The sequence below is a fragment of the Homo sapiens genome, chromosome 3 (genome assembly GCF_000001405.40).
Source record: "Homo sapiens chromosome 3, GRCh38.p14 Primary Assembly".
NCBI lineage: Eukaryota > Metazoa > Chordata > Mammalia > Primates > Hominidae > Homo > Homo sapiens.
In genome coordinates this window covers 13,867,253-13,891,793 of record NC_000003.12, presented here as the reverse complement: position 1 = coordinate 13,891,793, position 24,541 = coordinate 13,867,253, and the positions used below count along the sequence as shown (strand labels likewise).

Below are 24,541 nucleotides of genomic sequence, written 5' to 3'. Positions count from 1 at the left end.
CAGGATAATTGAGATTTTTCACTACTTTTTAGTCTACAATAATGAAAACAGCTACACTTAGTCATTTACAGATATTCATTTGAAGTACCATCGAGGGACCAGGCACAGAGCCAGCTGCCTTGTGTAAACTGGTGAACGAAGGGCTTGTCCTCTCCTCACCTGACTTACTTAGGGAATAGTCACTGTGTGCAAAGTACCTAGTATCTATTACTTCATTTAATGTTCATAACAGTACTAGGAAGTAATTACTATTATCCCCATCCTACACACAAGTAAACAGAAGCTCTGAGAGGCTAATAATCTATCAAGGCTCCATAATTATGTAACAGATCCAGAATTCAAATCCATGTTGGTCTAGTCCAGAGCTTCAGCCATTAACTATTCCATACTAGTGGGTTCCATCCATGGCTGTGTCTTAGAACCTCCCTGAAAGCTTTTTATATGCTCCACAGAGATTCTGATTTAAGTGGTTGGAGGTAGGGTTCAAGCATCAGTCTGTTTGTAATTATCTTATTTAATCCACACAACAACTGGAGATGAAGGTATTTATCTTTCTATTTAAAAATCAGAGAAACTAAGACCCAGAGATGCAGACTCACTTGCCTAAAGTCACACAGTAATTCCACAGTGAAACTGGGATATATGATCAGATCTGTCTTCTCCAAAAAGCCATCCTTAGCTCCAGAGAAAGGCAGCCTCCCTAAAGCTGGGGGATATACTGGCCAACCACTCTGCTCCAGCCCCAGAAGCCTCCCAGGGAATGTGTGTGCATGAGGGGCAGAGCGCCAGGTGGCAACTAAGTGATAAACAGGCCAGGACATGCCAGGATGTGTGCCGGAAGCCCAGCCCACTAAAGGCAGAGGTGTGGCTGGGCCAGGGTGGGGGCCGGACGTGGGGATGCACTTTTTCCCCAGCACAACAAGCTGTGGGCTTCCTCCCTCCCAGCTGAGCCCTGCCTGATATGGCAGGCCCAGAATGGGTCGCTAGCTAGAGAGTGGAGGGGTGGCAGGAGGGCAGGGGCCCAGGGCCAGTCCCCAGAGGAAGTCACATGGCTGGGGGCACAGGCATGACCCAGGAATGGTGAGGGGAGGGAGATATTTCAGGCCCGAGAGGAAGGGCCCAGCCCATGAGATGAATCACCCGGGCCGGAGATTATCCTGAGGAAGACCTTGGGGGTGGAATGGTGATAAGTGCTCTCCTCCCGAGGTGACCAGGAGCCCACGGGCAGATGGCCAGCGGCCGGTGAGGCAAAGTGTGGCTGGGAGCGCACAGATGAGTCTGAGAGGGCCCACCAGATCCAGGTGCTTTCCAGAAGGGACTTCTCAGTGACCCTACAACATGAGGGGAAGCCCTGGAGACCAGTCACTTGCACAAGGTCACAGGGCCAGAGATGGGATTTGGAGTGGGAGTGTGCCTTTCTGTTTCCGCAGCTTGTCTCCCCAAAGCAGGGAGCTAAGACTGCCACTGCCCTCCTGCTCCAGGGGCTTCCTGGGTGGACATGAAACTTCACTGATAAGACACCAGGCTTTAGACTCCGAATGGCAAACCAGGTGTCAGAGCTTATGCTTGCTCCTGGATGAGGCACTAGACTTGTCCCAGCTTCTTATTGCAGGAATGGGAAGTAGGGAGTCCAGAGGCTCACCCAGAACAAGGGGCTTACCCAGGATTCCAGAGCAGGCTGGACAGAGGCCAGTGGACCTGAGTCCTGCCTCCCAGCCCACAGATGATGATCTTCTGGATCTCTAAGGGTGGCCATCAGCATCACCTGGGAACTTGTTAGAAATGCACATTTTGGGGTGCATTTCATTCAGTCCCAGATGGACTGAATGTGAACCTGGGCAGTGGGCATCCCTCTGAGCATTAACAAGCCCTCCTGCAGGGGATTCTGGTGCCAGCAGAACATAAAGTACACACACACACACACACACACACACACACACACACACACACACACACACACATATTCACCGGGTGGTATTTGGTATAAAATGGCCTCACAATGGTCTTTACCTCAAATTCAATTAAAACAATCCCATCCACCTGATGATCCATCCATGGGCTCACAAACCATGAGAATGCAGAGGTCCTTCAAAATCAACAGGGATTTGTTTCTCAAGCTGGAGGGATATGTGGGCTCCTTGAAAGGGGAAACTTGTACACTACTCCCCCTGGCCAATAAACACACTCAATGGTGGTTTAACTAATTTTTAGTACACCATTGCTTAGATATGTACTATCATAAAACTAAGCGTAGGCTCTTATGCTATTAAAATCTGCAAGTTCCAGATGAAATATAAACTAACATAAACACCAGAAAATCTAACTTTTAAATGAATGATAATTGACATATGCCAGAGAATGTTACTTTGCTGAAGCCAAGTGGCAGCTTGTAGCCTGATCATGGTGTCAATTGTCACCATGTAGGGCCCATTAAATTTGGCACCATCTATCACCCTCTGTCATGAGATGAATCAAACCTCCCAACCCCTTTCCTCTAGCCCACCTCCTCCTAACCCTTTCTTCACACAGGGCAGGGGCTTCAGTGAATTACTGCTTTCTTCTCCTGGGCTCCAAATCACAAAAGTGGTTTTCCTGGGAACCTTATGACCATAAGCAAAAATGCAAACTCAAACAGCAAAGTTAATTAGAGGACAGTTATCAGTTATAATGAGGTCATCCTAATAGTTTGAAATATGAGGATGTTAGATTCATGTTAAAATGAAAAAAAAAAAAAGACCATTTGAAATTCTCATTCTTGGAGCCCTGAGCATTCCTCTCTGGAAACCTGGGAGTCCATAGATCCCTTTTGAAGAGACAGAGACTTAGAGCTGGCATGCCTTACTCCATTTCTGAGCTGGAGAAATCAAGGGCCACAGAACAGTGGGGACCCACTGTTCCCTTCTCTGATCCCTCTAACCTCTATCAGCTGATTTCTCACTGGTATGAGGAAGAAGTGTCCCAGTCACCATTGTATCCAAATGCAAGGGGCTCCCCTGGGATGAGTGAGCCGCTCTCCCTGAGAGAGGTTTGAGCACAGTTGGCCACTACTCAGTGGAGATGGGATAGACTTCCCTCCACCTCTGCCAGGAAGTCCAACTTGGGAGGTCTTGAGGGGGACCTGGGCATCTGTTTCATACCTAAGTAATTTGGATGCACATAGTAGTTTGAGAAACAGTGGCCCTGATCATCTTTAAGATTCCTCTGATCCTAGAGGGCTGGATTCCAATACACATCTTTATCGCCATAATCATCATCATCAAATAACTATCATGTGTTGAGTGCATGCTATGTGCCAGTTGCTCTGTGAAATGTGAATGTGTTATATATATGATTGCTGTAACCTATGAGATGGCATTATTATTATCATCATCTCCATACAGATACGGAAATAGGCTAAGGGAGGTTCACCATTTTCCTAAGGTCACACAGCAAGAGGCTGAGCCGAGACTCAAAGCTGGGTGTGTTGCCCCAGTGCCCTAGCAGTATTTCATATCCAACTCTGCCCCTAGCTGGCTATGTGCCTTTGGAGCCTCTCGGGCCTGCAATGGGGCTCAGTCTCCCCACCTGTAGGATGGATTGTCTCTTTGCAGCCTCTTCCACAATCTTGGCCCCCAGATTCACAAACAGATTGATGGTTCAGCAAGGGAGTCAATAGGACTTTGGCAGCAGGGGGAGGGAGACATCAATTTTCCAGCCCCAAGGCCCATGTTCCAGCTCCTCCCAGTCAGGATGCTCTGGTCCTACCCATTCTGCCCCCAACTCCTGCCCCCTTGATAACACTGAATCACTGGCCTGGGTGAGGCCTACCTCGTGCATAGCAGTGGGTATTAGGAATGCTGGGATGGAGATGAAATCTATGTAGGCGAAATCAGTGCAAAGGAGCCTATTATTAGCAGGAGTGAGGAGATGTGGGAGAAGACAAAAAGGGAATGGAGACATGTGTTAACATAAGTGCCAGACACTCAGCTAGACGCTCAGCTAGATGCTGGGTAAGCAACTTAACCCCTCAACATCTCAATTTTCTCTTCCGGAAAATGAGGTTTTTATGAGGAGTGCATGAGAATCATCCAATTATTCATGTGTCTAACAATTATTCATCAAGGGCCGCCCATGTTCCAGGCATCATTCTATGAAATGCAGCTGTTAAGTAACAAATATTCCTACTTGTGGGGCAGACAGTGCAATGAGGAAGATAGACAAACAAAAGTCAACAAATACACAATGTAAAGTTGGGGGGTGCTGATACATTCTAGGCATATAAATAAAGCCAGAGTAAGAGGTGGTCTAGACAGTGCCATGAAAGCGCAGGGTACTCAGGGGTCACCCCCATGGGGCAGCGATGTGGGAGGTGATATTCTGCTTGAATGAAGTAATGGGTGAACCATACAGCCATCTGGGAAAAGTGCTGCCAGCAGCAAAGAAATATAAGGCATCCATCAGACAGCCTGGCACATACTAGGTCCTCAGTAAATTGTGCATGCTATCACAGTGCAAAGAGAGAGGCTGTTTCCTTATTTGAGCAGATGGATGGTCTCTGTGTTCCTGCTGCTCCCCAGCTGTAGGAATGTAGTCTTCAGACCCCAGCTTTTTGCCCTGCCTGCTCTAATCCTGGGAGAGAGGACCTGGGGGCCAACAGCTCCAAGGCAGAAGGAGGAAGAAGAGATTCCATCGGAGGCAGCACAACCTCCTACCAGCCTGGCGCACAGAGGGGGGCTCCCCAAGCAGACACCATGGTGCCAGTCACAGGAGTTGAATGCTGGATAGCCACAAAATAATAGAGGCTGATCTCACTGGTGAAAACCCACATGGGACTGGATAACAGCCCTGCTCTGACAATGTGGGTGCCTTCCCATCTACAGGATGAAGGCTACAGGCCTTTACAATTGACACCCTAATGGCTTCTGCCACCTCCTTCCCACCTCTCCTTCTTTCCAGCTCCTCTGCTCTCCACGGGCTGATTACCCGGGGTCTGGTGATCATCACTGGGTGTGCAGCTCTGGGTGCCCTCTGGAGGTGCCCATGTCAGGGGATGGGGAGCAAACAAACACACAGATGAGGCTGTGGTGTTTGTGGTGTTTATGGTGGCTGCTTGAACAGGGGCTAGCACAGAGGCTGTGGAGGTCAATATCCTTTTGGAGGAGTTGGCCAGGGATGGCTTCTGGAGGAGGCAAAATGAAGCTTGTTCAGTTCTCAGCTCTTCAGAGCCTTCTCTGGTCACACTACCTGAGGTTCCCCACGGAGCTGTTCTGTGTCACAGCTCTGAATTTCATTTTCTTCTGAGAACTTTCCCACATGAGAGTATTTCTTTCCTTCATCAATTCATTCAACAAAAATGATGCTCCCGCTGGGTGCAGTGGCTCACGCCTGTAATCCCAGCACTTTGGGAGGCCGAGATGGGCGGATCACAAGGTCAGGAGATGGAGACCATCCTGGCTAACATGGTGAAAGCCCGTCTCTACTAAAAATACAAAAAATTAGCTGGGCATGGTGGCGGGCACCTGTAGTCCCAGCTACTCGGGAGGCTGAGGCAGGAGAATGGCGTGAACCCAGGAGGAGCTTGCAGTGAGCCGAGATCGAGCCACTGCACTCCAGCCTGGGCGACAGAGCGAGACTCTCTGTCTCAAAAGAAAAGAAAAAAAAAATGCTCCCAGTACAGGGCTCCCAGCAGCTCCAAACACTTACTGAAAGCTTTGGCTATGGTTTATGCTGCTGAAGTTTTCTTCTAAGCATCAATGAAGAAAACGGAGGGACCAAACACAGGTGGAAAGTCTCTATAATCTCACCCTGGGGGACCCGCCGTTAGAGACCACCTTAAACACAAACACCCTTTCTTGATCCGTGGCAGCACCAATGGTGGCGGTGGCCTCTCTCTTAATTTAATTTACAAGCGTGTACACGGCACTGGCTATGTTCCTGGCAATGTGCTAAGCACTTTACTTGTAGTATCTCAAACCTCAAAACTACCCAAGGAGGTAGAAACCATTACTGTGCCCAGTTTACAGATAAACTGAGGCAACGAGGGATTTAAGTAACTTTTCCAAGGTCACAAAGATAATAAACGGTGGAGCCAGGATGTGGACACCTCTAGAGCCCTCACTGACAGCAGTGTCTGGTATACAGCAGGACTCCATATCCCTTAGAGATTATTGCTGTGGCCGAGATCTAAGCTGATCTCCTTCTGTATCCAGCAGGGGGCGACAAAGCACCTGGCTGACTGTGCACCTGCCCCAGGTATGGTTGATTTGGCTTAAAGAGGAACAGTACCTGCTGAAGAGGTATCCTTCTCACTTCTTAATCCAGGCAGAGGGAGCTAAATGGGGAGAAAAATTCTGGGCTAGCATGACTCTGCCAAAGAAGAACTTTCTGCAATGGGTCCCATTGAAACAGTCATGAAACCGTTATTCACACTAGGTTCCAGGTTTTGGAATGAATCCTTGGAGGAGCTCCCAGTCAGGTGAAGGATTAAATTACCTGAACATTATTAGGCCCACAGAAATCCAAACAAGTTAAAAATAAACCGTTCTGGATCACGAAGCTAGTAGGTCTCAGAGTTGGGATTCAAACTCAGACCTATCTGACCCAAAAGTCTGAACTCTTTTTACCAAACCATGGTCCTCATGTTGATGAAAGCCCTGTCCTGGGTGCTGGAGACAGAGATGAAGGATACAGCGTTTTTCCCACAAGGAGATTATGTCCTGATGGAGGAGGGAGGGGAGTGAGGCCATACAACATTTGGGGTGGGAAGGGCTCTGCCAAGATCAGCACAAGAAGGGTGAGAGCACAGAGGAAGAGATGCATTAAAAGGTGGTCCCTTTGAAGATCATATCTATTGTGTTTACTGCTGTACCCCAGCAGTGAACCCAGCCCAGGGCCCAGCACAGTTTAATCCTCAACGAATGTTTGATGACTGAATGAATGAGGAAGACACCAAGTGCCTAGGATAGGAGTAATGTAGATCAAGGAAGGCTTTTCAGATGAGTTGACATTTGGGTGGGATTTGGAGGATAAGTTAGAAGTTTACCAGGTAGAAAAGAGCTAAAGGCATTCTAGACATATGCAAAGGAAAACAGGCTGCAGTAGTAGTCTCTCAACTTTTTAAAAAATCCTAACCCAAAATGTATACACATACACATCCAATACACACACACACACACACACACACACACACACACACGCACACACACAGTTGGAACCTTATGCATAATGCCCTCTGTTATTTTCTGATCTATTTCTTTTTGTAAATGCTAGTGGCAACCCACTAATTTGTTGTGATATGTGCACAAGTGTTTGGGGAAAGTGGAGGCTGTAAAGGTAATTTTGAGCTAGACCATAAAGATCTCTGGATGTTAGGCTGGTAAGATGGAACCCTTTTTAGTTCTGCCTCTCCTTCCTTCCCTGTGAAGCCAAACACTACAAATTCCTTTTCCTTCTCTCACTGTCTGATGAACTCCCTGCCTCTCAGGCTTGTCTTTGTCACCTTTAGTCCCTCCATTTCCCCAGCTGGTTCTTTAAATCATGCTGAATTCCTGGGGCTCTGCACTGGGCCTTCCCCACTCATCCTTCTTGGTCTCCCAGGGTGTCCTCTCCTTGCCTTGATTTGAATGTCTGCCCACTTCTAGCTGGGGATATCCAACCTAGAAGTGACAGCCCCAAGCCTCTCCCCGAGCACCAGTCACCCTTCAGTGACCTACAGACACTTCAGACTCAGCATGTCCAAAACCAAGTTTCACTCCCTGAGACCTCCTGCTCCCAGGGTCCCCAGTCTGTATTTTTCTCACCAGCCACACTCTCACAGGACAGGACACTGTCCTGGAGGCCTTCCTTATCCTGTCTACCCTGCCTTCAAACTCGGTCTCAAATCCACCCCCTTCTCTCCCCACCATCTGTCCAGGGTAAGCCTTCTCTCCCACAGGTAACTGTTGAGACCTCCTGACTTGCCCTCCTCTCTTGCTCCCTCCTCTGTTGGCTCCCATGACAGCCACCATGAACCTTCTGAAACAAAAACCTGATCATGTAACACTGCTACCCCCCTTAATATGCCCTGTGTCCCTAGACTCCCCATTGAGCCTCTTCCCTGCATATCTCCTTCCCTCTAACGCCCCAATATCCAGGCACCTTGAACCTCCGTGGCCCTGTTTCCTCTGGTTTCAAAAACTCACTTGCTTAATACCAACTCACTCTTTTAGGATCCCATTTTAGGAACACTTCCTCTAGGAAGCCTTCCCTGATCCTCTGAGACTGGCTGAGGAGCTCCTCTGTGTTCCAACAGCCCACTGTGCACCACACATCTTGGTGCCTAACACCTTTTTTCCTATTGGAGTGTCCCAAGTCCTTCCCCCTCCTCCATTAGATGGGCAGCCTAATGGGGCTGGGGGGTGGGTTAAGAGCAGATGCTGAAGTCAGTATTTTCTAGGTTCGAAGCTCAGCTCAGCCATGGACTGGCTGTGGGAATTTGATACTTTATTTAATCCCTCCCTGATTCACTTTCCTCATTCTATCAAATAATGATGGCTGTGATAATGATATCAACAAGTGGAGTACCTACCCCTTGGCATTTTCAGGGGATTCAGTGAGTTGATATGCTGAGGCTGTAAATGACAGTGCCTGGCATGTAATAGTGCTACCTATGTGTTTGATCATGAAATCGGTCCTCAGATGGGTTGCTCCAGGAGGGGCAGAGACTGGATTTATTTGATATACTGATCTGTCTTGGCCATATTCTTCCCTGCTGTGTTCCTCCTCTTCTTCCTCCTCCTCCTCTCTCATCTTCCGATGTACCCAGCACCTGCATGGGCTATTGGTATGTGCCTAGCACCTGGCCTGACATCCGGTCACAAGTACACCCCAGCATTCATGACATGAGTGAAACTTTGGTCTAGGAATGATGGTGAATGCAGAAAATAAAGGTCATATTTGGAGATTCTTTGGAGGTAGACTGCTCAGGGCTTGTGCTGACTTCATCTGAGGGTGGAAGAGGAGGAAGAGGAGGAGGAACAATGCAGGAGGGAAGAACATGGTCAGGACAGACCTTGTGATTTCCTTTACCAAACTCTTAGCTCCTCCAACCATCTCCAGATCATTACAAGCCACCTCCATTCACCCAAATACTCCAGCCAACATCGGGGTCACCTATCATTCCTCTTTCTCTTTCTCTACCCACCCCCACCGAATCCTTTCAAGTCCTGTCTGTGCAAGACACAGGCCCCGTATCCTGGGTCCTTTTCTCCTCTCTGCACCCCACTTCTACCCTTATTGTCCTAGTTACAACTGCTGTGTAACAAGCATCCCCTCCAAACTTAGTGGCAAAATAATCATTATATTCACAAGTTATAGGGCTCAGGAAGTTGGGCAGGGTACACTGGGGATACTACACGGCCACTGTCCACCATGCTTTAGCTTGGCAGACACAAAGCCAGCATGACATAATGGTGGAGGTACCTTCACCCACATTTCTGGCACCTGGGCAAGGTGACTCCAGTGCTGAACTCACCTGGGACTGTGGGCTGGAGCAAGCACAGGTGGCCTCTGCCTATGCCTGGGCTTCCTCACAGCATGGTGGCCTCTAGGCCTCTTCCATGGTGGCTCAGGGCCCCAGCACTGGTGCGCCAGCCAACAAAACAAAGACTGCATTGTCTTTTATCGCGAAGACTTGTAATTTTTGAGCATCACTTCTGCTACATCTTATTGGTGGAAGCCATCACAAGCCCACCCAGATTCACGCAGGCAGAGCACAGAGAACCCACTTCTTCATGGGAGGAGTGTCAAATAATTTTGTGGTCATGTTCTAAGAGCACCACCCTAACCCAAACTACCAATGTCTCACCTGGACCCCTACTGTCATCTCCTCTCTGGTCTGCTTGATGGCGCACTTTACTCACCTGTCCCCATTCCCACAGTGTGTTCCCTTAGGACAGCCACGGGGAGCTTTTGAACACACAAATCAGATCAGTCACCCCCTTCTTCATCCCTCCAATGTCCCCAGCTGAACACACCACTGAAATCCAAGCTCCTTGACGTGCCCACACAGCTTTGTGGATCTGTGTATCCCCATCTCCCTTCAAGCTCAGGCCTTCTCTCTCTCTCTATTGCAGCCCACCATCTCCTCCCTGGGGCTCATGCCCACCTCTGAGCTTTTGCACCTGCTGGTCCCCTTCCTGCAGTGCTGGACCCCTGATGCTGTGTCCTTCAGGCCTCACCTCAAATGCCACCTCCTCAGATCTAAAATTAACCCTCCAACACCCAGTATTCCCTCTCCCATCACCCTGCTTAATGGTCTACTATCTGCAACTCTGTTCTTGTTCACTTATCATCTGTCTCCTTCCTGGCCCCAAGAAGAAAGACTGTTGCCTTTCTTCTTCCTTGTGTCCACGGTGCCCACTATCGTGGTTGGCACAGAATATGGAATATGAATGAATACCTGAATGGTGGCTTTCGGGTGTGTGTGTGTGTGTGTGTGTGTGTAATTTAGAAAGGCAATCTTGAAGGATAGTCAGGACTGGGTGCAGGAGGTTACTACAGTTGGGCATACTTTGTTTCCCATATGGTTGTGCCACTCGCTAGCTGGTGACTCTGGGCAAACACCTTCACCTCCTTGAGCCTCAGTGTCTTCAGCTGAAACCTGAGTTCAGATTTGCCAGACCTGGGCATAGGGACAGCAGGTCCAGCAGGAACACCAAGCCAGGACCACAGCCACTCCCAGGGAGCTCAGTCCCTGGAGCCCGAGAGGAACACTCTCCGGAGGCGCAGGCGCAGCCGCTCCTAGAGACTGGGCAACCCCCAGGTGGCAGGCGGGACCGGTCCGTGCAAACAGGGAACAGGTACCCGGAGGATGGACATTCGCTGGCAAAAACATAAACTGCCGCTCGGAGTCTTGGCACCACCCAATTTCCAGGGACGGTTAGACTCCCCCTAGCTCACTGGATGAGGTGTACACCAAAGAAGGGTGTTAGCCCCCTCGGGTCGGCCAGGGCACTCAAAGCATTCTGTTCCCGGGAGCGAGGCCGAGGTGCACCACCCGCCGCGTCCGCCTGGTGACGCCGCGAGCGCGCTCTGAGCGGCCAGCTGCGCCCCTCACGCTCCCGCGGCTCAGGCGCCCCACTGCTGTTCCGCGCGGGGCAACTGGGCCTCAGCCCGACTCAGTCTGTCGGCTAACAGCAGGATCCCAGAGGAGGCTGCCCAACCTGGGCACCCCCTGCCGCCACTCTCGAATAGGTGGGAGTAGGGAAGAAATACACTGAGCCAGTCAGCCCGTCGCTCCGCGAAAGGGGGCGCCCTCCCCTGAAGCTGGGGTTGGGGAACTGGGGTGTGCCCTGTCAGCCCCAGCTCCCTGTTCCGGGCTGGAGGGAGCAGGGCAGCAGACCAAGGCACTAGGCCTCTCGGCCGAGTCTGGTCCACTCCACCCGAGGGCAGCCTCTGGACGCCCACTCGCCCTGCAATCTGCAAGTTAGTGACGGGTGGGGGGCGAGCGGGCTCCTACCGCCTCCAACCGGGCTGTGCTCCCCAGCCTGCCACCTGCACCCCGGAGCAGGGAGGGGGCCCCCGGGAGCGCGCATGGAAAGGCGCGAGCGCGCGCCTTGTGCAGGCGGCCCTGTCCCGCGGGCGCAGGGGCGCTGGGCGGGCGCTCCGGGGAGGCGGGCGGGGGAGGGGGCGGGGGAGGGACGGGGGAAAGGAGGGAGGGGCGGGGGCTGGAGGCAGCAGCGCCCCCGCACTCCCCGCGTCTCGCACACTTGCACCGGTCGCTCGCGCGCAGCCCGGCGTCGCCCCACGCCGCGCTCGCTCCTCCCTCCCTCCTCCCGCTCCGTGGCTCCCGTGCTCCTGGCGAGGCTCAGGCGCGGAGCGCGCGGACGGGCGCACCGACAGACGGCCCCGGGGACGCCTCGGCTCGCGCCTCCCGGGCGGGCTATGTTGATTGCCCCGCCGGGGCCGGCCCGCGGGATCAGCACAGCCCGGCCCGCGGCCCCGGCGGCCAATCGGGACTATGAACCGGAAAGCGCGGCGCTGCCTGGGCCACCTCTTTCTCAGCCTGGGCATGGTCTACCTCCGGATCGGGTAAGGGCTGCCTGCGCCCTTTCCGCGCGTGTTTCGACAAAGTTGGCACGGCCCGGGGAGGGAGGTGTGCCGCCTGCGAGCCTCTGCCGGCCAACTTCCACAGCTTCTCTGAGAGGCCGGGTGGGTGCGGTGTGGGAGCGGTGGACGCACAAAGGCCCCCCGCAGGACACCCCAGGAGATATAGGCAGGGGGACTGGCCATCCTGAGGACGTCTGAGTCTGGAATCCCCCAGGACCAGAGACAGCCGGTAGGGACGCTCCAGCCTGAGGGACTCTGGGGGAGGGCTAGCTGCTGCAAAGGTTCAGCCCATCCCGGGGACCCTTCGGACCCGGGCATAGGGACAGCAGGTCTAGCAGGAACATCAAGCCAGGACCACAGCCAATCTCGGGGAGCTCAGTCCCCGGAGCCCGAGACGAACTCTCTCAGGAGGCGCGGCACAGCCGTTCCTAGAGACTGGGCAGTCCCCAGGTGGCTGGCGGGGCCGGTCCGTGCAAACAGGGAACAGGTACCCAGGAGGAAGGACATTCGCTGGCAAAAACATAAACCGCCGCTCGGAGCCTTGGCACCACCCAATTTCCAGGGGCCCTTAGACTCCCAGAGCCCCTTCCCGGGCCAAGGGGACAGCACGTCCCACCCCCAACAAACACACACAAAGGTGGGACGAGAGGCGGTCTGAGACACAGAGGGAGACAAGCGCTAGAGAGAGGCGGGACACCCCGCCCCCTGGAACTGGGCAGCAGAGGCGGCCGGGCGCGCGAGCAGCCCTCCGGCTTCACCTAGCGTTTCTGTGGAGGTGGGGCTCGGGGGCGCTCTGGCTGGAAGGTGGGAGGGGGCAGCTCGGGACGCGTCCTGGAGCTGCTTGTGCAAAGCCGGTCACCCTTTGTACTTAAGACAACGCGTGTGAGGCTCGGAGCGGTGTGGGGGCGGGGGGATCTGGGCATGGATAGAGGTTCTGGCGCTGAAGGGCCCGCTTGGTAGGTCTCACACACCCTGCCCCTCCAGCCCCCAGCAGTGAACCCATTACCATCCCTTTTGAGGAGGGGTGGACCGCAGGGGCTGCGGCGAGGGGATGTGCGTGGCAGACCCTTTGTGTTTTGTCACTACTACCCCCCTACCCCGTCACTTCCCCAGTCCACGTCTCTGGAGCGGGGATTTCGCAAGTTGTCCGGCCGCGGCCGCTAGCAGGTGCGTGCAGAGCCGACCAGGGGCCGCCAGCCCGACCAGCGGCGGAGAGGCGGCTGCGGGGCTCGCGCCAGTACCGCCAGCCTGCCGGTGTGTTTTAAGTGTTATTGATTCGCCCGCGTCTGGGTGGCTTTCCTTTTTTTCCCCTGCTTTAATCTTCATCTTGGCCCGCGCCCCGCCGCCCCGCGCACATTCAGCATCCAGGAAGCCAGTAGGGCCGATTGGCTCGAGCCGATTGACTCGGGCCGCGTGCGGCTTTATCTCCTTTTTAATTAGAAACGGGGAGGAGGGACACGGGTGGCGGGGGAGACAGAAAGGGAAAACAGCAGAAAATAACCTCCCCTGGCCGCCCCGCCCGCCCGCGGGCCGCCCTCCCGCCGGCGCCGCGGCCTCCCCGGATTGGCCCTGCGGGGGCCCAGCTGCCCGGCAGGGAGGGAGGGAGGGAGTCCTGCAGGGCGCTGGCTTTCCGCCCCAAGCTGCCCTCTGGGGTAGGGAGAGGTCCAGGTCGGAGAGGTGGGAGTTGCAGGTGACTTCGGGCCAGGCCCTGCTGCTCCCTGCGCCTCGGGCTACTCATCTGTATAGTGGACATGAGGGGTGAAGTCTCAACGTCCCTAAAAGGTTTTTCCATTTCCCCAGACGTGACGGCTCTACCCGCTTCTGGCTGATGGTGGGGCATCTGCGGTATTCTTATTTTGCTCGGATAGTTCAGGTGACTCCGCACTAGCCTATTGCAACAATCAGATCCGATAACGATAATGATAATTACAACACCACCACCACATTTATGGGGCACTCACTATGTGCCTGGCACCTTCTAAGCACTTTCCATGTTCTAGCACATTTGATTTTCACAGCAGCCAATGAGGTGGGGACTAGTTATCAATACCCTAATTTAGCCATGGAGAAACTGAAGTGCAGAGGGAAGGAAACTTGCCTAAGATCGCACAACTAATAAGTGAAGGAAGCTTGGATGAGAACCTAGGCCAGACCCTTAGGGGCTAGTCTATTGCACCTATGAATTTTTGGCCCCAGTATGCCAACCTATCCACTCTCAGCTGGTGTAGAAATTTCCTGGTGGCCAGCTAGGTGCTCAGAGGGTCCTCCTGACAAATGATGCCAAAACGTCTCCACTTAATCTTCTCATGCTGCTTCTTCCTCAGACATTCCCAGCATTCTAGTGTGTGTTAGACTCGGGTTTAGCGCTGAGATGCCAGTGCAAAGCCAGGCTGTCCCACCTCCAACACCTGCTAGCTGAGAACCTTCCTCCAGGTCCCAACCTCTGTGAGCCTCAATTTTCAAATATGTGAAACGGATGTGATGATTCTTGCCCCACAGGGCTGTGTGGAAAGGTCACATGAGCTGCTGTTTGTGGCAGCACCCACCATACTGCCTTGGCACATAGTAGGGACACTGCCCAAGTTTACTGATGCATTTGATGCATATTTGGGGGGCACCTGCCATGTAATAGGTACTCACCCGGAGCCACATCTTTGAAGTGCCACAATCCATTTATTCAGCAGTCATTTAGTGAACCAGCAGACAGCCTCCCTGCCCTCAGGGAGCTCATCCTCTCAGGAGGAAGACAAGTGATCAAGTGAGCATGCAAATTAAAAACACAGACATGAAAACATTTCAGTAGACCATGAGTAATCAAGAATATCCAGTAAACAAAACAGAGATTGTGATGGGAATTTATTAGGGGTAGGGAGGGGAGGGAGGAGCCCTTAGCTGGGCTGGTCAGGGAGGTGACCCTTGAGGTCATGTGAATAATGGCAAGAAGCCAAGCTTGTGAAGATCAGGGGTGAGAGCGCTTCCAGGGAGAGGAGGAGCAAGGACAGAGTGCCTACTGCAGGGAGAAGGCTGGCACGTGGCAGGAGCCTAGGGAAACGGCAGGAGTGATCAGTTGTGCGCTTGGAGGGCATGGGTCCATGTCACCTCCTTGAGTTATTGGTACAGGAGAACCTCACTCTAACAAATTGCAACTCCAGAAAACTGCCCACAGCTGAGCCCCAGGACGAGGCACTTGTCCAGTGGCTCTACCTGCAGCCCTACCACTGCCACCAAGCCAAGCCACCACCAACCCTAACCTGCCTAGTCCCTCTGCTCCTGCTCTGGCACCCCACAGGTCTTTCCTACATGGAGTGGGGACCACCAGGTCATGTCAGTGTCCTGCTTACACCCTTCAGTGCTTCCTGGTGCTGCCTGATGCACCTGAGAAAATGCCAGCCCTCAGCCATCTCCTCTTCCCAGGATCTCCCTGCATCTCAAGCCCTGGCTTTGTAGCAGTTTCCATGGGTTCTTTCTATTCCTTGAAGACCCCGAACTTGTCTCCTAGAACTTTGCATTTTCTGTTCCCTCTGCATAGAATACCCTTCTCCAGATCTTCCCACAGATGCCTCCTGGCAATTCAGATCTCTGTTCTGTTCTAATGTCAACTCCTCAAGGAAGTCCTCTTGATCACCTCAGCTAAAGTGGCCCTCACTTTCCTCACCACCCCCACACCCCAGTTGCCATCCCAGCATCTTCCTTTACTTTCTTCATAGTACATATCACTGTCGAGATGGCCTGTTTTATTCATTTGTGACATCTGTGTTGTCACCCTCCCTAGTTCCTTGAGGGCAGGGCATTGCCTGTCAGGTGCACAGCTGTCTCCTAGCATGGTACGTGGCACATGATGGGTATCCGATATATATCAGTGAATAGTTGAGGAAGATAGGAATTCTCCTCATAATAGTCGCACACATCCTCTAGGCCAGTCATGCCCGGAGTGGGATACATGTACTCCATTGACAGCAGGAAGAAAATGCCAGGACTTCTACTTACAATTACTTTTTAAGTTTTTTTTCCAACAATAAAACATATACATACATGAGAGTATATGTTACATATACATTAAAAAACAGATTTTTTTAATGAACATCTGTGCACCCATCACTCCTTCAAAGGCACCTGCTGCATGAAACTTTGAAGTCATCATTTCCTTGCTTGCCTTTACAATTTTACCAAAGAGATGATTCCCTAGCAATATAGAGCTTCTTTTGCATGTTTTTGAACTTCATCTCAATTGCATCCTACCATAAACTCAAAGGCAACTTGCCTTTTTTACTCCATGTAATGTTTGTGACATACATCATCTTTTTTTGTTTCTAAAACAAAAATCAAGTGTGTGTATGTTTCACTGATATTGGGTATACGCATTGATTCAAGAGCCTATGTAGAAATTATAGGGTTTCTATTCGAATGGACATGAGTTAGGGGTGCAGGATCAAAAAAGTTGGGAGACCACTGCTGGGGGCAGTGGGGTGGCCAGTGCTGGACACCTACGAAGGGTTCCCAGGCCATGCCCCCTTGCTGGCCTAATGCTCCATCTCTCTGTGTCTCTCCCTCCAGTGGCTTCTCCTCAGTGGTAGCTCTGGGCGCAAGCATCATCTGTAACAAGATCCCAGGCCTGGCTCCCAGACAGCGGGCGATCTGCCAGAGCCGGCCCGACGCCATCATCGTCATAGGAGAAGGCTCACAAATGGGCCTGGACGAGTGTCAGTTTCAGTTCCGCAATGGCCGCTGGAACTGCTCTGCACTGGGAGAGCGCACCGTCTTCGGGAAGGAGCTCAAAGTGGGTATGTGCTCACCCAAACACCCCCGCAGAGTCTTACCGGCTCTAGGGACACCAGAATACCCTCAGGTGCCCTCTGGAACTCCCTCACCTGCCCCTGCTAGAATATCCCTCAGTATGGGGTCCTGCAGGTGCATTGACTTGCATTCAGGACTCTCAGTGAGGGTCAGGTCTCTGGTTGAATCCATACCCCCTCAATCGTTTATTGACAGAGGTGCAAACCAGCAACCAGTGACCCAAATGTTAACCTCTGATACAGTGCTGGTGTTGTGTTTTGAATTGAAGCCCAAATTTTAAAATTTGTTGTTTCACCTAAAATATAGGAATTTCTGGTTTCTTTTGAAAAGTTGGCAGATCTACTCTTAATTTACATGTGTGCCCATGTGGTTGCAAAGACCTTAAACTGAGAACACAACTCCCTTTAGTTGCAGCAGTGAATGGGCAACCCATTCACTGCCGCAGTCCCCACCACTCCCTACTGCTGCCCGTCCTGTGCATTCCTGTGACATGATCCGCTTGACTCCTGTGGGCTTTTGACTTTGCAACTGTTTTATGGGAATGGCGTGTGCAGACACATACATACACACAGAGTTTTGAGCCACACATTTGACTTCTGAAGCAACTATAACAAAAGTCTGGTGGAAAAGGGTCAGAGAGAGCAATGCTGGTCTCCAGGAGGCCCTGGTCAGTGGCAGGAGGCCGTGCTGTGTGTCTTCTGGCTTGTGTGCGTGTGCATTAGGGGACCAGAAACTGCCACAGGCTGGCTTCTGCACTGTGAACTTCCCTGAAAGCCAGGTCAGCCTTGGATATCTTTGGGTATCCTGCCGCCTCCTCCTCAGGTCACACTGCTGTCACATCTGGGCTCCCAGGCTGTCCCACGCTCCCCCATCTCATTGCCCTGTTGCTCCTGGCCATCCTGCAGTCCCTTCTGCACCCAGCAGGCAGGATCATCCTTTTACATGGAAATCAGATCATGTCACTGCGCTGCTTAAACCCCTCTGGAGGCTTTCTTGCATCAGAATGAAATCCCCACTGCTCATCTAGCTGCTGCTGACCTCTGCTGCCATCTTCCCCCTTCACCTTGCTCACTCAGCCTTGTCCTTTTTCCCAAACACACCACACTGGACACCAGCTATTTCTTCTGCCTTAGCTCCTTTCCTCAGCCCCATGCCCCTGACCCTGTCCAGGTCTTCTAGACCTTTTCGACCTTGTCGAAAGTCCCCTCTCACCTCAAAGCTCCATCCCATCAGCCAAGCACTTCACACTGTCTCAATCCATTCCGAACTGGTTTGCAATGTCAGCTTCATGAGGGCAGGGGCTCTACTCCCATGCTTACCACTGAACGCTTTCTTCCCCTTGCCTTTTGGAAGGAAGCACAGCCTTACCCATCCCTGCAGCAGGCCTGGTTTTGTCACCATATTCTGTGAGTGCCTTCTTATTTGCACCTTACAGAACTGTAGACAGGATCTCAGTATGGGGTCCTGCAGGTGCATTGACTTGCATTCAGGAATCCCAGTGAGGGCCAGGTCTCTAGTTGAATCCATACCATCCCAATAGTTTATCGACAGAGGTGCAAACCAGCAACCAGTGACCCAAATGACACCTGGTGACAAATGTCACCAGGTGACATTTGGGCCACTGGTGAAGTTGGCAGAGGATCTTTCCAGAGGCAAACCTTTTCCAGGGTCTTTGTTGTGTAGACTTTTGCCTTGCACCGTCTGCCCTGCTTTTCCCTCTTCCCAAGCCCAGGGCTCACTTTTTAGTTGGAAACAGAGGCCCAGAGAGAGAATGGGACTGTCCCGGGTCACATAGTGAGTGGCATCAACACTGAGACTCCAGTTTAGGTTGCTTAATCTGTCTTGTGAGCCTCCCCTTGCTTGTCGCTTGTGGTTTTTGTGCTTTCTTCTACTCAGATAACACACACAGACACACACACACACAAAATTCCTGGGACCCAGGCATGGGCTCCAGCATTGTTTTAAATTTGTGGCTTCTGATATATAAGATGTTATAGATGAGGAAACTGAGGCTCATAAGGGACTTGCTCGAAGTCAAGTCAAATGAGTGGCAGGGCCTCTCAGGACTGGGTTCATTCCCGTATAATTTTCAGTCTCAGAACAGTCAGTATATCAACTGGCATTGGAATAGTCCCCACAGAGGTCTGGGGTGGAGCAGGAGGGCTGCAGTGCAGGGCAGTGCCTGGACAAGGATCCTCTCCTGTTGAGCAGCCCCCAGCTGGCCATGGTTGTAGAAGAGAGGCTGAGGAGGAATACTGCCAGCGCACACCAGGGAGGAGCAGAGGCCAGTGGCAAGAGGCATTCTAGTGGGCTTGGCAGGCAGAGGTGGCTGGGGGAATTCCAGCAAAGAGAGGTGCCCAAGAAAATCCTTGGGACAGCGATGCAGGGCAGTTGGTCGGAGGAGCCTGGAAGGAAATAGGAGCTGGAGCCAGGAGGTATACAGGGTCAATTTAACAAGTTTGAATTTCTGAGTGGGAGTCGTTGGAGGATTTTGAGTGTGGGAGTGACTGCCAGAGGATAGGTTGAACTTATGAAATTGCCACTATGAAATGATTTTTGGCCCACAGAAGTGGCAACATAATATATGTTGATATACATATATTATGCATTGACTTGCATTCAGGACTCCCAACGAGGGTCAGGTCTCTGGTTGAATCCATAGCCCCTAATAGGAATAGGAATCCATTCAACCTTATAGGAATTTTAGAAGATTCATGAAAGAGTGAGTATAAGTTCATTGATTATAATACTTGTTGATTTATTCATGCATTCACCAAGTTATTTGGTGTCCACTGTGGCTGGAGGCTCCTGTTCCAGTGTGTGTGTCCAGGGAATGGCTCTGGATTTGTGAGGGAGGTGAGCTATGGGCATGTCTGGGGAAAGAGCATGTCGGGCAAAGGGAACAGTAGATGCAAAGGCCCTGAGGTGGAACGTGCTTGGGGGTGGCTTAAGGAACAGCGAGGGGCTGGGGTGGCTGGAGTAGAGTGAGGAAGGCTGAAGGGGAAGTGCCAGGAGCTGGGTGGTGCAGCATCCCTCAGGCCAGGGCAGGGGGTCTGGATTTCCCTTCATGGGAATGGAGACCTTCTGGAGGGGAGACAATAAGGGAGGGACAGTATCCGACTTTGGGTTTAGCAGCATCACTCTGGCTGCTGGCAAAAGCATGAACTGCAGGGTAGGGTGGCAGTGGGGGTCTGGAGTCTGGTCGAGTCTTCCAGGAAGGAGGTGATGGTGGCTCAGCCTCAGTGATAGCCATGGAGACCTGCTTTGAAATCCACCAGCCAGGAAGGAGGGAGAGTGACAAACTAAGGGCCAGCTAGGAAGAAGGGAGGGTGACAAACTAAGGGCCAGCTAGGAAGGAGGGATGGTGACAACCTAAAGGCCAGCCAGGAGGGAGGGAGGGTGACAACCTAAAGGCCTGCTAGGAAGGAGGGAGTCACTCTGGTCTAGACTTCTAGGGTAGTGGCAGTGGGAAGAGGAAGATGAGTCAAGATGAGAGCCCTGAGAGTCTGAAATGCCCCTGAGCTTAGGTTTCCTCATATATAGACAGGTGTCCTGCTCCAGGACATCAAGAAGCAAGCATGACATTTAGGGTCACTGCGCTCCTCCTCAGTGCTCTCACCCCCATGGGGTTGCCACTTTCTGGGAATGACCAGCTAACAAGGGCTGTCTTGCAGGGGTAAAAATCTGGCCTTTGGAGCTGTGGCCATTAAGTCCTGACTTTGAGCACCAGGACCCATTGTCTGCCTTTAAAGAGAAACTTTCCAAAGCTCCACCCCATACTTCTGCTTACATATCATTGGCCAGAACTTAGTCACATGGCCACATCTAGCTGCAAGGGAAGCTGGGAAGCGTAATCTTGTATTCAGAGTGGACATGAGACCAGCTGGACTCTGTGACTGAAGAGGAAGAGTTCTTCATCGCATGCCTGGCTCCCTTCTGAGTATTCAGTTTTCCTGCATAGAGCTGAGAGGCAGCAATGGGCAGGTACCAGGCAAGGTCCCCTTGCATGCTAGAAATTGAACCCCAATTCAAGCCACCTCTGGTGAAAGGGGGACTTATGTATGCCTAAGGAACTGGAGAGCCAGGGCATGGTGCTGACTTTCGAAATGGACTGGACCAGAGGTAGCGTTGGCATCCGGCAACCCCAGGGCCACCTCTTGGGGCAGCGGGACGGCCTTTGCACCTGCAGTGCCACACCTTCCAGATTCAAGTACCCCCAGAAAGAGCATTGGCCTTTCTCTAGCAGCACTTGGAGAAGTTCTAAGATTCACTCGGATTGGACCAGCTAATGGGGCTTTACTTTTGGTTGTGTGCCCATCCCAAACTAATCACAGTGGCCAAGGGCAACAGTGCTTTTTCTGGCCCAGCCTGGTAGCCCCACCCAGACCATCTCTCAGGGGAGAGGAACTGCTCACGAGTGTACTAGTCTGCTAGGGCTGTCAGAAGAAAGCCCTGCAGACCAGGTAGCTTAAACAGCAGAAATGAATTGTCCAGTTTCAGAAGCTGGACGTCTGCCATCCAGGTGTCAGCAGGGCTGCTTTCTCAGAGGCCTCTCTCTTGGGCTTGCCACCTTCTCCCTGGGTTCTCACATGGCCTTTCCCCTTGTATATGTGCCCCAGGAATCTCTTGTGTCCTGGTCTCCTTTTTTATAAGGACACGAGTCATATAGGATTAGGGCCCACACTAACAGTCTCATTTTAACTTAATTATAATACTTCTTTAAAGTTCCTATCTCTAAATGCAGTCACACTCTGAGGTACTGACTCAGTTCACAGCAATGAGTGGCCAGAGTGCAGCATGGTTCAGGCTTTAGGGAGAAGGCAGAGGGAGTGTGGCGGGCTCTCAGAAGTGAGACCTCAGGATGGAGGGAGGAGTCTGGACAGTGGAGATGGCCCTTGATCTGGGACTTGGAGGGTGGGGAGAAATTTATCAGTGAGTGGGATTCCAGGCAGAGGAAACAACAGAGCAAAGGCATGGTCATGTGAGAGCTATGGTGGGAATGAGCAGGGGCCTGCAGCCTCAGGAGACGGTGGCTCAGAGAGTCCCCTGTGAGATGGCAGGCTAGCTGTCAAGACCCTTGAATGCCAGGGATTGTTTGAGTGGGGTGTGTGGCCCCACATCAGTTTGACCAACTGCTACCTTGGGCGGGGGGTGTCTAAGAAGGCCTTCACTTCCCTCTAGACTTTTCTTTCTTTCCTTCCTTCCTTCCTTTTTTTCTTTCTTTCTCTCCTTCTTTCTCTATCTTTCCCTTCCTCCCTCCCTCCCTCCTTCCCTCTTTCTTTCTACTTTTCTGTGTCTTTCTTTCCTTTCTTTCTCTTTCTCTCTTTCTTCCTCCCCTCCTTCCTTCCTTTCTCTCTCTCTCTTCATTCCTTCCTTCTTTTCTTTCTTTTTTCTTTCTTGCTCTCTTTCTCTTTCTCTCTCTCCCTTCCTCTCTCTTTCCCTCCCTCCCCTCTCTCCTCCCTTTCTTTCTTTCTGTCTTTCTTTCTTTTTCTTTTCTTTCTTCTTTTCTTTGTTTCTTTCTTTCCTTTCTCTTTCTCTCTTTCTTTCTCTCCCTTTCTCCCTTCCTTCCTTTCTCTCTTTTCCTTCCTTCCTTCCTCCCTCCCTCTCTCCCTCCCTCCCTCTTTCCCTCTTCCTCTCTTTCTTTCTTTCTCTCGTCCTTTCTTTTCTTTCTCCCTCTTTCTTTCTTTTCTTCCTCTCTCTCTCTCTCTCTCTTTTCTTTCTCTCTTTCTCCCTTCCTTCCTTGCTTCCTTCCTTCCATTCTCTCTTTTCCGTCCTTCCTTCTTTCCTTCCTTCCTTCTTTCTTTCATTCCTCCCTCCCTCTCTCTCCCTCTTTCTCTTTCTCTCTCCCTCTTTCTCTCTCTCACTTGCTTTCTCTCTCTCTTTCTCCCTTTCTCTCTCTCTCACTTTCTCTCTTTCTCTCTCTCTTTCTTTCTCTCTTTCTCTTTTTCTTTCTCTTTCTCTTTCTCCCTTCCTTCCTTCCATTCTCTCTCTTTTCCTTCCTTCCTTCTTTCCTTCCTTCCTTCTTTCCTTCCTTCCTCCCTCCCTCCTTCCTTCTCTCCCTCTGTCTCTTTCTCTCTCTCTCTCACTTTCTCTCTCTCTTTCTCTCTTTCTCTCTCTCTCTCTTTCTTTCTCTCTCTCTCCCTTCCTTCCTTCCTCCCTTCCCTTCCCTTCCCTTCCCTCCTTTCTTTCTTTCTCTTCTTTCTTTCTTTCTTTCTTTCTTTCTTTCTTTCTTTCTTTCTTTCTCTCTCTCTCTCCCCCTCTCTCCCACTCCCTCCCTCCTTTTTTTCTTTCTCCTCTCTCTTTCTTTCTTTCTCTCTCTCTCTCTTTCTTTCTTTCTTTCTCCCTCTCTCTCTCTCTCTCTCTCTCTCTCTCCCCCTTCTTCCCTTCCCTTCCCTTCCCTCCCTCCCACCTTTCTTTCTCTCTCTCTTTCTTTCTTTCTTTCTTTCGTTCTTTCCTTTTCTGACAGGGTCTCTCTCTGTCACCCAGGCTGTAGTGCAGCACTGCAAATATAGCTCACTGCAGCCTCCACCTCCTGGGCTCAAGCAATCCTTCCACTGGGATTACAGGCACACACCACCTCACCTGGCTAATTCTTTTCTGTTGTCTTATAGAGACGGGTCTCACTGTGTTGCCCAGGTTGGTCTCAAATTCCCAGCTTCAAGCAATCCTGCCTTGGCCTCCCAAAGCAATGGGATTACAGGTGTGAGCCACTGCACCTGGCCATTTTTTTCTTAAATAATATTGTGACCTTCCTCGAATTTACCCCCAACACAACTTGTCATCCACGTTTGTGAGCCTCCCTCATGTCTTCCCTGCCTCTCCCTCCCTGGCTACACTTTCCCTACCTTGAATCTTGAGTTTCCCATTCCCTTGCTTATTTATGTTTAATGTATCATATGGAGATCTTCCCCAAAAGTAAATGACTTCATTTTGGTTGGATTGAATTGCTATTGTGCCAAGCTCCTCCCCCGCTGGAAGCACAGCTCCAACACTGGGACTGGCCAGCTGCATGTCTGCCCAGTGAGTGGGTGAGAAAGACAATCTAACAGCATCCTGATTTGCACTTCCCTGAGAAGTGATGAGGTTGAAATATCTTCCTGTATTTACTGGCTGTGCATGTTCGCTCTTCCACGAGTTACCTCTTCATGCTTTTTCCCCATTTTTCTGTTGGGTTGTGGGTTCTCCCATTGGGTTTGGCCAGTGTGGTTGTAGTCACAGTGCAGGGAAACCAGGGTTAGACCAGGTAATGCCTAGGGATGAGTGGGTTCCTTGGGGTGAGTGGGCTCCTCAGGGTGAGTGGGCTGTGGGAGGCTTCACTCTATCTTGTATCTTTTCACTGAGGATCAGTGTGGACCAGGAGCCAAGATAGCCCTTTCTCATCCGTCACTTCATTGGGTCCTTGGCACCCTTGAAAGAAAGTGTGTCCACCTCCGTCTCATTCCTGGGAGACAGGCTTAGAGTCAGGCAGAGGCTGACCAAGATCATGTGGCTGTTTTGTGGCAGAGCTGAAATCAGTTGTGAGTCCCCCCTTGCTAGAGGGATTCTTCTGTTTGTGTGATCCTGCCAGAGATTCTCAAGTCTGCCATGTATTTGAGAACCCCTTGTCTTGCTGCAGGTGTGGGGCTGCCAAGTGAGTACTGAAATCAGAGTCACATGGCCGGGTTTGCATCCCAGCCCCACC

The 24,541-nt window shown here is 51.6% G+C and overlaps 1 protein-coding gene across 3 annotated transcripts in view, besides 2 other annotated features; it reads left to right on the top strand.

Annotated features, from left to right (window-relative positions):
• Positions 11,723 to 24,541, top strand: part of WNT7A (Wnt family member 7A) — a 63,814-nt gene continuing 50,995 nt past the window's right edge. Inside the window, exons 1-3 of one of the 3 annotated variants that reach the window (XM_011534091.3) lie at positions 13,657 to 13,718; positions 13,867 to 13,939; positions 16,621 to 16,847. In XM_011534091.3, coding sequence (XP_011532393.1) covers positions 16,751 to 16,847 — 97 coding nt within the window. In that variant the 5' untranslated portion in view covers positions 13,657 to 13,718; positions 13,867 to 13,939; positions 16,621 to 16,750. Of the gene's footprint in view, positions 12,049 to 12,232; positions 12,296 to 13,656; positions 13,719 to 13,866; positions 13,940 to 16,620; positions 16,848 to 24,541 lie in introns of those variants that run through there. The other 2 variants (NM_004625.4, XM_047448863.1) reach the window with 2 other exon arrangements.
• Positions 11,745 to 12,246: an enhancer, noted in NCBI's record as "H3K4me1 hESC enhancer chr3:13921045-13921546 (GRCh37/hg19 assembly coordinates)". NCBI's record gives its function as "activates a minimal SCP1, AML or CMV promoter by ChIP-STARR-seq in naive H9 embryonic stem cells {active_cell/tissue: H9 hESC(naive)}" and the evidence as "EXISTENCE:reporter gene assay evidence [ECO:0000049][PMID:30033119]".
• Positions 12,749 to 13,250: an enhancer, noted in NCBI's record as "H3K27ac-H3K4me1 hESC enhancer chr3:13920041-13920542 (GRCh37/hg19 assembly coordinates)". NCBI's record gives its function as "activates a minimal SCP1, AML or CMV promoter by ChIP-STARR-seq in naive H9 embryonic stem cells {active_cell/tissue: H9 hESC(naive)}" and the evidence as "EXISTENCE:reporter gene assay evidence [ECO:0000049][PMID:30033119]".